Source organism: Homo sapiens, chromosome 6 (assembly GCF_000001405.40).
Source record: "Homo sapiens chromosome 6, GRCh38.p14 Primary Assembly".
NCBI lineage: Eukaryota > Metazoa > Chordata > Mammalia > Primates > Hominidae > Homo > Homo sapiens.
Genome location: NC_000006.12, coordinates 117,477,730 through 117,491,249, shown reverse-complemented (window position 1 = coordinate 117,491,249; position 13,520 = coordinate 117,477,730). Strand labels below are relative to the sequence as shown.

The window sequence follows — 13,520 nt, the reverse complement described above, 5'->3', positions numbered from 1 at the left end:
ATATATGAATCTCATGTTCCAGTGGTCCCATGGGTCATTAAGCCTCTACAGTTTTCTCTTTTGGGCTGAAATCAACCACATTTTAATATGAGGTAAACTTGCTTTTGTGAAAAGCAATAAAAAGGCTGAATTAAATCCACTCAGCCATTTAAAAGTTAGGCAACAAACACATAGATGTTTATCTATTTTCCCTGTAGGAAATTTTATGCCTTGGTAATTCAAATTTAACTGGACATCACACTTTTAATATCCTTTTGTCTTGTTTTTTGTCAGAAATAATAGTGAAATAAAGTTTTTCTTTCCTTTGTTTTTCAAGAATACCGTGCTTCTTAAAAATCATTTACACTCAACCTTTAAGCACAATCACTAAACATGCTCAAATGCAAAAATGGAGCTATACATATTATTAGTTTGCAAGGATTTTAATTTTGTGAAGAAAGAAAACAAAGACTATTCTTTTTCAGTAAATGTAAATATGTTGAACACTGAATAAGAAGGCCACAACAGCGGTTATAATTTGAGTTTGAAGATGCTGACTATAAAAACTAACTTGGGTCTCAATAAACTCCAAATAGTCTAATAATGAACAAGCCTGATCCATTCAATACAAATTAAGAATCTCACCAAAGAAGGATTAAAAAAATACACCTTACCTTTCTGATACTTAGTATGTTTAAACTTATGTACTTTTCTCAAATAAAGTATGTATAGGCAAATTATTTGACTCCATTAGTAAGAGAGAGTAATTTGAATAATATAAAACAAAAACATTGACGAGACACATCAATTATAAGTTGGCCTGGACAAAAATTCCACTTTCCTATTAGATATTTCTCAGTAGCAATAAATGACTTAGAAATAAGTTTTTGGTTTACTTCAAGGCAAATTCTAAAATAAATATAAATATGGAATTTTTCCAAGTAATAAAAAACTTTCAATGAAACACAGATTTAAAAAATCAGAATATAAAAGCATACACAGACTAGGGAGCAGAGGGGGGAACCCAGGTATTAGTTTTATTGTTGTTCTTTATACCTTTATTTATAGTCTATAATTTTGTGTCTACACAATATTTAATAAAAACAATAGTAAATGTGTGTGTACACACATGTATTTGCTATAGGGGTGTGTGTGTGTGTGTGTGTGTGTGTGTGTGCATTTACATAAAAATATATAGAACTAAAACATGTCCTCAATGGTTCTATGTGTAGCATTTTCCATGATTATGATATATCAGGACAATGTTATTTATGGACACCCTACTTTGTTTCACAACTGTTCTGCTTCTGTTGTAAGCATTAGGGAAGATCATTGGGAAAGTAGGGAAGAAAGCTCCAACCTAAGAGAAATTTATTCTTTTTTTTTGAGACGGAGTCTCGCTCTGTCACCCAGGCTGGAGTGCAGGGGCGTGATCTCCGCTCACTGCAAGCTCCGCCTCCCGGGTTCACGCCATTCTCCTGCCTCAGCCTCCCAAGTAGCTGGGACCACAGGCACCCGCCACCACGCCCGGCTAATTTTTTGTATTTTTAGTAGAGACGGGGTTTCACCGAGTTAGACCATGATGGTCTTGATCTCCTGACCTTGTGATCCACCCGCCTCGGCCTCCCAAAGTGCTGGGATTACAGGCATGAGCCACGGCGCCCGGCCTCTTTTTTGTTTTTTAAAAAAGCTCAAGCACAGCTCTATTTTTAAAAGGGGGGTGGTATGGGGGTAACACAGAGCTACTTAAGCTGTTACCTCATTTCAGTATTATCCTTTGCAGCTTTTCCTACAAAAAAATCTACCTAGCCTAAAATTATTGTTGATATGGTTTGGATGTTTTGTCCCCTCCAGATCTCATGTTGGAATATGATCCCCAATGCTGGAGGTGGGGCCTGGTGAGAGGTATTGGATCATAGGGACAGATCCCTCATGAATGGCTTGGCACCATCCCCTTGGTGATAAGTGAGTTCTTGCTACTACTTCACACAAGAGCTGGATGGTTAAGAGCATGTCTCTTGCTCTGTCTCTCACTATGTGATGCACATGCTTCTCCTTCACCTTCTGTCATGACCGCAAGCTTCCTGAGGCCCTCACCAGAGGCTGAGCAGACGCTTATGCTATGCCTGTACAGCCTGCAGAAACTTGAGCCAAATACACCTATCTTCTTTATAAATTTCCCAGCCTCAGATATTCCCTTACAGCAACACAGAACAGACTAATACAATCATATATAATTATATACAAGACACAAGGCATTTCTGCAAATATTGGGTATATTATTACACAGCATGTAGCTCCTAAGGAAATAGCTAATAACGAGATTAATAAATCAAGTAGAAATGGCAGTAAACAGTAAAGTCATACACGACAATATGGCTTAACACAGTGCTGATGTCACAAATGCCTAGACACTGTCCCCAAATGATGTTTGAGGTGAAGTAGGCCCCTGATACCCTAAATGTATAAGCATTAGCAGACCATAGGGGACCCCCGGTCTAAATCAGTGGATCATTTGCTCAAGACTGCCGGCCCCTCACTCATGGCAGTTTTCCTGCTGTTGCCTGTAAAAGGGTCTCAGAGATTCCCGGTTCTTTTCAGAGTTGAATTTAGTTATTTTCTTTTTGAGACAAGGTCTCACTCTGTTGCCCAGGCTGGAGTACGGTGGCAGCATCACAGCTCACTGCAACAGCTGCCTCCTGGGCTCAAGGGATCCTCCCACCTCAGCTTCCCTAGTAGCTGGGATTACAGGCATGTGCCACCACGCCCGGCAAATTTTTGTATTTTTTGTAGAGTCGGGGGTTTCGCCATGTTGCCCAGGCTGGTCTGGAACTCCTGGACTCAAGTGATCTGTCCACCTCAGCCTCCCAAAGTACTGGGATTACAGGAGTCAGCCGCCCTGCCCGGCCTAGTTATTTTCTTAAATACCTGCACAGTGTTTCCTAACGCTCCACAATAGTCATATATACAATTTCTGTTTAAAATAACATGAATATTATCCTCCTTTCAATTTTTTCAAACCTCAACCACAGCATTCATGCGCTGACTCAGGAACTAGTAGTTACCCGGAGCCTGCTATGTGCCAGGCACCGTACTGGGTGCTAGCGGTGAAAGAAGAGGCTGAGATTCATCTCTGCTTTCATGGATCTTAGGGAATCCTCCAATGCTTACCCCACAATCCCACAAAACCCCTCCTCTTCAACTCCCATTGAAAGGCAAGTTTGACAGTTGGTTCTAGATTCAGCATACCAGCGCTCACAGTCACGACTCTATTTCCACATCGGGTAAGAAGTCATCACATGCGTTTGCTTTATTTTTCCCATAAACTAAGTCTCCCTCACCCAGTAAGGCAAACAACTATTTTTTTTAACATACAAAGCAGACAATAAACATCTGGAAGATAACATCCACATGACTCCTCAGTTTGGAAAAAGGCAAAACTACTCCTCAGTCTAATGAAAAAAAAAAAAATCTGAAATTCTGGCTGTATTTTTCCCTTCACCCTCAATGCCAAATTTCTAATATGCCAGAATGAATTTCTCTATTTTACATACGTACTTTCAGACTTTTACATTCAACATTGGATTAGACATACAATTTCATTACTTTGCCGTGTCCAGGTTTTAATTTCTTTTCTTTTTTTATTTGAGACTGGGTCTTGCTCTGTTGCCCAGGCTGGAGTACAGTGGCTCAATCTCAGCTCACTGCAACCACTGTCTCCCAGGCTCAAGAGATCCTCCCACCTCAGCATCCCGAGTAGCCGAGACCACAGGACACCACGACACCTGGCTAGTTTTATTGTATTTTCGCTAGAGATGGGATTTCGCTATGTTGCTCAGGCTGTCTCAAACTCCTGAGCTCAAGTGATCCGCCTGCCTCAACCACCCAAAGTGCTGGGATTACAGGTGTGAGCCACCTCTGGCCAGTTTTGATTTCGTAACTAGAGTGAGGTTGAGTCTTACAGGGCAGGAATTGTGTTTTCACTGCCTTCTCACCCCATCCTCACTAAGCACCCATCCCCTATTGAGCTCCCAATATGGCCACTGTTCAAGGCACAAAACTCATAGACCTTATAATCTAGTAGGAGGAAGGCAGTCAATTTAAAGTGTAAATTATACACTTTGTTGGAAGAGGGTAAGTGCTCCAGAGCAGTGGTCACCAACCTTTTTGGCAACAGGGACGGGTTTCGTGAAGGACAATTTTTCCGTGTATGGGGCTGGGTTGGAGGGGGATGGTTTCTAGATGAAACTGCTGCACCTCAGATCATCAGGCATTAGATTCTCATAAGGAGCGTGGCAATCTAGATGCCTCAAACATGCAGTTCACAATAGAGTTCAAGCTCCAATGAGAATCTAATGCCCGGCTGATCTGACAGGAGGCGAACTCAGGCGGTAATGCTCCATTACCTGTTGCTCACATCCTGCTGTGTGGCCCGGCTCCTAACGGGCCAGTGACAGGTACCAGTCTGCAGCCCAGGGCTTAGGGATCCCTGCTCTAGAGAAAACTGAAAGCTAAGAAGGGGAATATGGAGTTCTGGGAATGAAGAGAGGGTTTCAAGTGCTTAGGAAAGTTCTCCCTGAGAGGACAACATCTAAACAAACACTGAAGGAGGAGCAAGCTTTGTGGATATTTGGGGCAAGACTATTCCAGGCAGAGAACAGCATGTGCAAAGGTTCTGAGGTAGAACAGTGCTTGTCATTTTGGAGAAATAGCAAAAAAACCAAACAGCTAGAGAGGCCTGAGTATGGGGGAGCATTTCAGGGAATGAAGTCAGAGAGGCAGTGGAGGAGACAGAACAAAGAGTCCTCAATATTTGTCAAATCAATAGTAATAAACAGTAATGAATACTAAGATAGCTAACATTTATTGATTTGTTTTAATAAAGAAAAACAACTAATTGCTCTAATACGTACAGAGTTGACTTTATGCTTTAAGACACATGTAGAAATAGGTGTAAACACTATGGGGTATATTTCCCAGAACAAACTTTTTTTCCCTGCTTTAACACAACTAAAACCTTTGCTAAATGCTGCAATTAAATTCATGCCCCCATGTATCTTAAAAATAAGACATAATTCCTCATAAATGTCAGATGCCTTACTAATTTCCAAGCTGTGGTTTTTTAAAATGATTTTCAAGTCTGTGTCAGTTCCACAAGGTTAAAGGGTTCAAATTGTAACATGAAAAGTTAATAAAAACAGTTTGGGACATTATTCAGAGTTCAAATTCTGCTTTAAACATACCATTTGATTTGTTTAATGAATTTTTTAACATAACCTCTTTCTTCTCTGAAATATTAATATATAACTCACTGTTTCTGAGTGTTACAAATTATATCTACTAGAGCCAAAAGATATTGTACATATTGTTCTGCTGGCATGTTCCCTTCTTTCTGCTGTATTTTCATTTAAAAGGCATCCTTACATATAGAAATAAGCATGCCAAGAGAGCTGGGCTTGATAAACAAAATTAATTAGTAGAAGCAGCAGATGTACACCTTTATAAAGAATGTCAGTAGGCTCTTTATTACTTGGTTTCCATTAGTTAGGAAGTCATTTGAAAATATATCCTAAACACAAAGAGATTGTTCAGTTCAACTCAAGGAACACTGAGCACCTTTGTCAGATACTAGGAAGACAAAGACTATATAGTCCCAGTCTCTGCCCTCAGGATCTTACAGTCTACAAGGCTAGCTGTCCAGATGAGACAACAGAAGGGTGAGTGCACACACTGGTACAGAAGGTGACAGAATAAATTTGTGCTGATTTTTAAAAAAGCCACTCACCTAAAACATCATCTATCAGCTGATCCTATGTCTAACCCAAAATAAATGACAGATGATTTAACAGCAGACCTTCTAAATAACAAATTAAGAGTTGGGCAGAGGGTTTTGAAGCAATTCTTAAGTATGCAAGATTTGAATCTACACTTGGAAGTTTCCTCAGAGATCAAGCGCTCATTTTGATTCTTCACTTAAATCACAAGGGAATACTTTAGCTAATAACCATTTGCAAATCTTGTGGTGGAGAGAGAAGCAGGGAGTTTTAGGTTGCACAAATTCATTACACAAATGAAGGGTATTTTATTCTACAAAAATGTATATCAAGGTAATAAATTTGGACTAAATCCAAACCTACGAATTTATACAAGTGGAATAAAAACTAATGATCAACTTAATGTCTTATTATGAAAGGTCAAAATTATGTGAAACAATCTATGTAAATATGTACCTTTAGTTAAACGGATCCAGAAGAACAGGGCATAAGGAGCCGAAATAATCCCAGCTCTGGCCACTAAACCCCAATGCCTGGACCTGGCTGGCTGCAAACAACGGGAGGGGTGGACACTTTTTTAAAACTTTAATTCAAGAAAAACACCAGATAGGCAAGCAGTTGCCCTACAAAGGACCCAGTATAGCTTTATGGGGTCACCAGACTCTGACACACAAAAAATTAATTAATTGTATTGATTAGGCTTATAAACATTCAGGTTAAGTTATACCATTTGTTTCCTAAAACCACACAATAAATAAAAGTCTAATACGAAATTGCCTATAACACAGATGGTAGCATTTTATCACAACCCTAACATTATAAAATTATAAAGATTTGAAGCCCAGTAAGAATCTAAGCAACCACACATGCCTGTAGTCCCAGCACCTTGGGAGGCCGGGGTGGGTGGATCACTTGAGCTCAGGAGTTCAAAACCAGCCTGCGTAATATGGCTAAACCCTGTCTCTACAAAATATACAAAAATTAGCCAGGTGTGGTGGGATGCACCTGTAGTGTCAGCTACTCAGGAGGCTGAGGTGGGAGGATTGCTTGAGCCCAGGAGGTTGAGGCTGCAGTGAGCTGAGATCGTGCCACTGCACTGCAGCCTGGGCGACAGAGTGAGACACTGTCTCAAAAATAACAATAATGATAATAGGTTTTTAAAAAGAATCTAAGCAATCACACTTGTTCCTAGAGAACCGCTCTCACAAAGTGCCCAGTTAACAGCCTGGATGACCATACAAAATCTAAATCTTTATTGGGAAAGATAAGTGACAGCTTTGGCCAGATTAGTACAGGAACATACTGCTGGACTGATTCTCACAGACGTATAGTATTAAAGGTGCACCTTCAAACTGTGAGTTGAGAAAAAAATAAAAATATTTAAAACATCCATTATAAAAGTCCTACGCATTTAACAAAATCTTACGTATTTATTACAATTTTACAATCTGCCTAGTATTGTGCTACAGTACCAGACAAAATCACTTTAGGGTTTTGGGGATTTTGTTTTTTTAAACAAACTGGTATGTAATATAAACTTAGGAACCACCACCACCATCTCGAGTATCAATGTTTCAGAATGGAGGCATAGTTCAGTGAAAAAAATGCCGGCATTGGTTTTAGTTTTGATTCTTGTTTCACCAGAAAGCATGGTGGTTGGGGGAGCTGTCAAAGTACTCCGGATAGACTCAGCGCCATTAAATAAGCTCAGGCATATACGGCCAGGAGCAAGGGAGGAGAGGAAACACTGAAACAACTCGGCAGAAAGCTGGCCCTTGCTATTAAAAAAAAAAAAGCACTAATTAATGAGGACGAATGAAATAGGGACACCCAGGGCTGGTAAAGGGGGTTGCTGCTTTAATATGCTGGACAGGCAGAGGGTAAACTCGGTTGTGGGTTAATTAGGTCTAACTCCAAGTCAAAGACCAGCTCCAGAGAAAAAGCAGCCTGGTTGAGAGTCTACCGGCTCAAATACACAGGAAGCCACACGATTCCAACTTGCGGCGCCAGCAGGACACTCGAGAGGAGGTGGCAGCACCGCCTGCTCGCCAGCGTCCAAGGCCAACCTCGGCAAACGTGCCCCGGCCATTCCGCACGAGCCCCGAACGCACACGCCGGGATTCCAATTCCGCGCGGGAGGAGCGACGGCAGGGAGGGCAGGGCCCAGCGCCGGCCGAGGAGCGGCTTTGTCAAAAGGCAGCTGGAAAGAACTGGCCCTGCACACGGCTGTCCCCTAAGGCGACCCTCGGGGTCAGGTCACTTCTCACGGGGCCAGCAGAGTCAGGAAGTCTGGAAACTAAGTGAAATGGGCTGGGGGGCGGCGGAGAGAAAGTGCAGAGACGCCAGGTTAATTCTCTGGTTTTGGGGGAAGGAAGGAGTTTGGTGGGGGAGCGACAAGGAATGCAGTAACCTACTTCACCCCCAGCCCCGCGGGTAGAGCCGGACTCCGCGGATGGCAGGCGGCGAGCCCGACTTCCTCCCGCGCTCCGTCCCCCCAGGCCCGGCCCGCCCCGTAGCCCTCGGCCCGGCCCGGCCCGCCCCGCAGCCCTCAGCCCGCCCCTGGCGCCTCGGGTCCCGCCGCCAGCCGGACGCGCTCCACTCACCCAGCTCCTCCGCCTGCAGCCGGAGCGGGGCGGAGACCGCGAGCAGCAAAGCCAGGAGGCCCCGCCCGGCAGCCCGCGCCAGTGCGCCGCCGCCGCGGGCGCCGGGCACCATGACCCCGCTGGGCGCCAGCTTGGCAAGCTCGGCCTCCCCTCGACGGATCCCGAGCCGCAGCTGCCCGGGCCGGGCCGCCTCCTCTGCGGACGAGCGCGGCGCCGGGACGGGGCGCAGTCGCTGCCCCGCACCGAATCCCATTGGGGCGGCTTTCAGCCCAGCCCTGCGGGGGCGTCTCCCGCCCGGCCCCGCCCCGCCCCGCACGTCGGCCCCTAGAGGAGGAAGTCGCGTTCCCAGGCAGTGACCGACGGCGAAGCCGGAGGCGAGCGAGGCGCCGCCCGCGCTCCCCTCCACGTATCTGGCGCGCCCTGCTGCGCTCCTTCCTTGCCTTCCTCCCCACCTGCACCAGTACACGTGAACCTGCTAGGCAGCAGGACACCTCGCCGCCGGACCCGCCCCTCGCCGCGTGGTGCGGGAGTCATTCCTAGATGGGCTGAGCCCGCGGCGGTGCCTTGGGAGGCTGCCCCCTCCAGGGTTTTGCCAGCCCGCGGGGATGGGCATGCCAGGGATAGCAACACCGAGGGACTCGAAATATTTTGATGATAGGATGATGACAGTGCCAAGTAGGACCTTCACTGATTTATTCACTCATTCATTCATTCATTCAAAAGTTACTCAGTTCAGCAGTGTGCTTGTCAGGAGCAGGGCTAAACCCATGTGGCACTTGCAGACAAAAATAATCAGGCAAGTATTCAATGCAAATTGCAATCAGTGACATGAAAGGTGCTGTTGAAGCACATTTAGAGAGCTGTAATTAGATGGCGGGTAACAGGGGTGAGGGCGGGAATCAGCTAGGAAAGGCCTAAGTGGCATCAAAGCTGAGATTAAAGCAGGAGCCAAAACAGACAAGTTGTGCAAAGAAGCTGAAGGAGGAAAGGGCCAGGTAGCTGGAGCACAGTGAACAGGTGGGTACACGGCCAGATGTAGAAGCTAGTGTACAGAGTAGGGGCCAGGACGTGCAGCTAAATAACCTAAAGGATGTTTAACTTGGTCCTCGGAGTAGTGAGCAGCCACGGAAGGTTCAGAAGGGGGAAGGACTCCACCCGATGATCCTCTTGAGGAGTTGCGGAGAAGGGTTTGGGGAGGACAGATTGGAGACTGGAGAATTACAGGGTTATCACCGAGTAGTTGAATAGGGTGGTGGCAGTGGAAAATGACGAGGACAGATTAGATATGTATTTTAAGGACTATCTCACGTCTCTGGTCCCCTGTAGTCCCCGTTTACTTCCTCTGCGCGCTGCCCTCACCTTCGCACCACCGCGCGGCACGCTGAAGTTTCACCTAGAGGTGCAGCGCAGGGAAGCGTGGAGGCGGAGAGGAAGCAACAGCCCCTCCAATGGCAAACATTGGCCCCTCGTGATCTTTGGATACCCTGGACAGACTCATTTCATACATGCGTTCCTTTTTTCCTCTTCCTTTTCTTTTTTTAACTAAATAAACAAGCTGATAAAATCTCAAATGAGATTGTCTTTGGGGCTTTGCTTTCTCTGAGGCAGCATATCTTAGATGAAAGAACTTGGGCTTTAGAAATGGAGGGGATCCCGGTTTGATTCTGGACCTCAGCTTTGTTGAAGAGCTGAGGTCCAGAATCAAACTGGGTATATATGTGTATATTCAGTGTATACTGAATTTGTATATTAAGTTCTATCATGTAGAGAAAGTACCTAACTGAATGTGTATATTGGGTTCTAGCATGTAGAGAAAGTACCTAATAAACGGTAGGTTTTATCATTTTTTAACAGAAAGTAAATTCACACCCATAAAAATATTGAGTATTCTTACACTCAAAAACACAGAACGATACTTTGATACGTTGAGTCTCCTCCTAACTTCAGTTTTCGCTTTTTCTTATTTCTCTTCATTCTTTCTAAGTGAGTTTGGGCAGCTGCTTCCAGGCTCCAACAGGTTTGACACTGTGAGCTATGAATGAAGCAAAGACAATGGGGAGTATTGTTTAACAGTGAGGAATTCATAATGTGAGGCAGGTGGGCTTTCAGGGGTGACTTTTTTTTTTTTTTAACTTCAGTCAGTACCTTGATGGGAATGGAATTATCTGCTGTACACCTGAATCCTGAGCCAGATAAGGGGAAAGATTTAGGATCTGGTAACAATGAAGAAACAGAAAGACCAGCCAGATCCTATTGATTTCATCATGCCATTCCTTCCTTGAAATGTAAAATCTCTAGTTAAGAAAGTCATAATAAAAGAAAAAAGTGAAAATACAACAGATTATAAAATATATATACTGGGGTGTGTGTGTGTATACATGTATATGTATATGTATGTATCATTTTTAGAGAAAGGGTCTTACCATGTTGCCCAGCTGGAGTGCAGTGTCTATTCACAGGCCTGATCACAGTGCACTACAGCTTCCAGCTCCTGGTCTCAGTCCTCCTGCCGCAGCCTTCTGAGTAGCTGGAACTACAGTATATTTTTCTATACAATGAAATAAGCCTTGTTGAATTAATATACTTGTTTTAATCTTGAGACGATTCCACTTTGATTTTTTAAAATGATGCATGATGGAATCTAAGAACCAAGTTCCATTAAGAAAAATTATGCTTATTAGGATCTACCTATAAACATTTCACATACTAAGATGGGAAATATCTCTAGGGAAGTGTCTCTCATAGGCTATTGCACTTCTAACCCATCCCCCCACTTGCCATCCAGTCCTTATTTTGCATATCTTACTGCAATTTATGCTTACATTTGCCAGCTCTTCTGTAAAAATACATAACAGCTGGTCAGGAGCTGCCTTATTTTATATTATAAATTATGTGTTCTGTCTTGCTTAGGTAAGACAGAATTTAAACAGAACTGCAAACCTAGCATGATTCTAAACAGACAGCTTCAAAATAGATTGTAGTCCAGTTCAATGACCTAATTCAATTTATCCTTAACATTTAGTAACCCTGCCTGTGACTCTATGAAGAAAACTATCAGCTATAAAATTGAAGCCCTTATAGATGTCTGATATGGTTTCAATCTGTGTCCCCACCCAAATCTCAAGTTCAATTGTAATTCCCAATGTTTTAGACATTTTCCATATGTGAAACAATGTGACAGCAGTACAATAAAAATAAATACCTTCTCTTCCTGATTTATGATCTAATAATAAAAATTTGGGAAAGTTAATTATACAGACAAAATGAATTATATCGATTGATAGGCACAGGGATAGCAGAGGTACAGGGTACCATGGAATCACAGAAGAAGGGCATATAACCTGGATTTTAAAAGTCTGGCAGGGCCTGGGAGAGGTGAAGATATTAATTAGAAGGAAAACAATGTTTGTCAGACAAGGAAAAGATATTATTTTTAAAGCTCAGAAACAGAGATCACAGGGTGCTTATGAAGATTGAACCTGGCCAGGCACAGTGGCTCACACCTGTAATCCCAGCACTTTGGAAGGCCAAGGCAGGTGGATCACCTGAGGTCAGGAGTTTGAGACCAGCCTGGCCAGCATGGAGAAACCCCATCTCTACTAAAAATACAAAAATTAGCCAGGCATGGTGGTGGGTGCCTGTAATCCCAGCTACTCAAGAGATTGAGGCAGGAGAATCACTTGAACCCAGGAGGCAGAGGTTGCAGTGAGCCGAGATCATGCCATCATACTCCAGCCTGGGCGAAGAGCGGGAGCGAGACTCTGCCTCAAAAAAAAAAAAAAAAAAAAAAGATTGAGCCTACATTATCAGTGAACTTGAGCCTGAATACAGAGTGGGAGGCAGAAGCAGGATCTCAGGGTTCTGGGGGGTAGTGGGAAGCAGGGAAAGTGTAGAAACTTGTTCAGATTTGCATTGTAATAGGTGTCAAGATTACGGCAATAGAGGAGCAATCAGGCTCAACTTTGAATTCAGGGATTCAGTGAATCCAGTGGGCAGGGTGAGGGAGTCCATGATGAAAAATCACTAGGAGGAGACATCGGGGTAGAGGGGATTCTTGTAAACTGGCTTAATGGGATTCTTGCTGAATGCAGGTCAAGGACTTATATGTCAAAGATAAGGGAGGAGAAACTTGATCCAATACAGAGGGTGGGGTATTCTCTCTGAACTAACTTAGCAGAATTCTTGCTAAAGCTGGACTAGGCAGGCCAAAGACAGGGTTCAAGGACAATGCCTAGATAAAAAGAAGGCTCAGGGGAGCTTGACTGTTTGGTCACAGAGAGTCTTTGTCACCCCCATGTGGATATTTTTGCCACAAGCACTAAACAGCTAGGCTACAAAGGTCAGACCCCTCCCTCCCTGTGGCAGAGCTCAGCAGGGCACAGTCAACACTTTCCTCCCAAAGTGGCCTTTCTCTAATTTTCATTTCTGATAAAACTTACCATTGTCCTACGATTCCTTCTTTAGGCATGCTATTGAGGCAAGCATGCCTCTCCTATCCAGGCTTTCTCCCTTATTCCGTCATTGTGTTTGATTCATTATTCACTAATTTACGGTATCACTTTCCAGGGCCAGCCCTATTTTTAAATTCTAGTTGCCTCTGTACTACATGCGATACATTTGTGTCATTTCAAGAAGTAGTTTTTGAAGAAGTTTCATATACTTGATCTGAGTTGGTTCTTATGACAACCCCAGGACAGCTGTTTCCTAATTGTGTTTCTCTTTCTCTTCTTTCTCTTTTCTAACTTTTCTGTTAGGTTAACTGTTCACTCTTTCATCTTGCCCAGAGACCACATGTTGAAAAATGTCCTTGGGAGCTTGACCTTGTAACCATGTGGCAGTACTTTCTCTTGGTCTCTGCCATCCAGGGAGCAGGAATTTGGGGGTTCATGTCATAGTTATTCCCAAAATTTATGCCTTTGCAAACTCAAAATTGGTTGCTCTAGACTCCTTCTGGGAAGTGCAATGGAAACTTCCCAATGTTGTAGCTTAATAGTTAAGGCTTATGGGTTTCACCTGTGAGATTATTTTTGGTAAAGTTCAAAAGCCAGAAATATTGGCAGTTTGGCATGGCTAAAGGTGGTAGTAAGAGATTTAAAAGGACTTTAAAAAAAAAAAGAGTGCTATGGTGAAAAGTCCACTTAATTGAAAGTGGATATTCAAGTTC

At 43.6% G+C, this 13,520-nt stretch overlaps 1 protein-coding gene across 10 annotated transcripts in view, besides 5 other annotated features; it reads right to left on the bottom strand.

Moving 5' to 3' along the window:
- DCBLD1 (discoidin, CUB and LCCL domain containing 1) overlaps window positions 1–8,576 on the bottom strand; it is an 87,185-nt gene extending 78,609 nt beyond the window's left edge. For 8 of the 10 annotated variants that reach the window (NR_158983.2, NM_173674.3, XM_011535773.3 and 5 more), the window contains exon 1: window positions 8,357–8,576. Coding sequence is in view for 7 of the 10 variants with exons in the window: in NM_173674.3 (NP_775945.1) it covers window positions 8,357–8,468 (112 nt within the window). In the remaining 3 variants the exon portion in view is untranslated. Of the gene's footprint in view, window positions 1–6,209; window positions 6,301–8,356 lie in introns of all 10 variants that reach the window. The other 2 variants (XM_047418676.1, XM_011535771.2) reach the window with 1 other exon arrangement.
- Window positions 7,541–7,590: an enhancer, noted in NCBI's record as "active region_25003". NCBI's record gives its function as "activates an Ori minimal core promoter by ATAC-STARR-seq in GM12878 lymphoblastoid cells {active_cell/tissue: GM12878}" and the evidence as "EXISTENCE:reporter gene assay evidence [ECO:0000049][PMID:35858748]".
- Window positions 7,621–7,670: an enhancer, noted in NCBI's record as "active region_25002". NCBI's record gives its function as "activates an Ori minimal core promoter by ATAC-STARR-seq in GM12878 lymphoblastoid cells {active_cell/tissue: GM12878}" and the evidence as "EXISTENCE:reporter gene assay evidence [ECO:0000049][PMID:35858748]".
- Window positions 7,681–7,760: an enhancer, noted in NCBI's record as "active region_25001". NCBI's record gives its function as "activates an Ori minimal core promoter by ATAC-STARR-seq in GM12878 lymphoblastoid cells {active_cell/tissue: GM12878}" and the evidence as "EXISTENCE:reporter gene assay evidence [ECO:0000049][PMID:35858748]".
- Window positions 8,121–8,700: a silencer, noted in NCBI's record as "silent region_17499". NCBI's record gives its function as "represses an Ori minimal core promoter by ATAC-STARR-seq in GM12878 lymphoblastoid cells {active_cell/tissue: GM12878}" and the evidence as "EXISTENCE:reporter gene assay evidence [ECO:0000049][PMID:35858748]".
- Window positions 13,059–13,108: a silencer, noted in NCBI's record as "silent region_17498". NCBI's record gives its function as "represses an Ori minimal core promoter by ATAC-STARR-seq in GM12878 lymphoblastoid cells {active_cell/tissue: GM12878}" and the evidence as "EXISTENCE:reporter gene assay evidence [ECO:0000049][PMID:35858748]".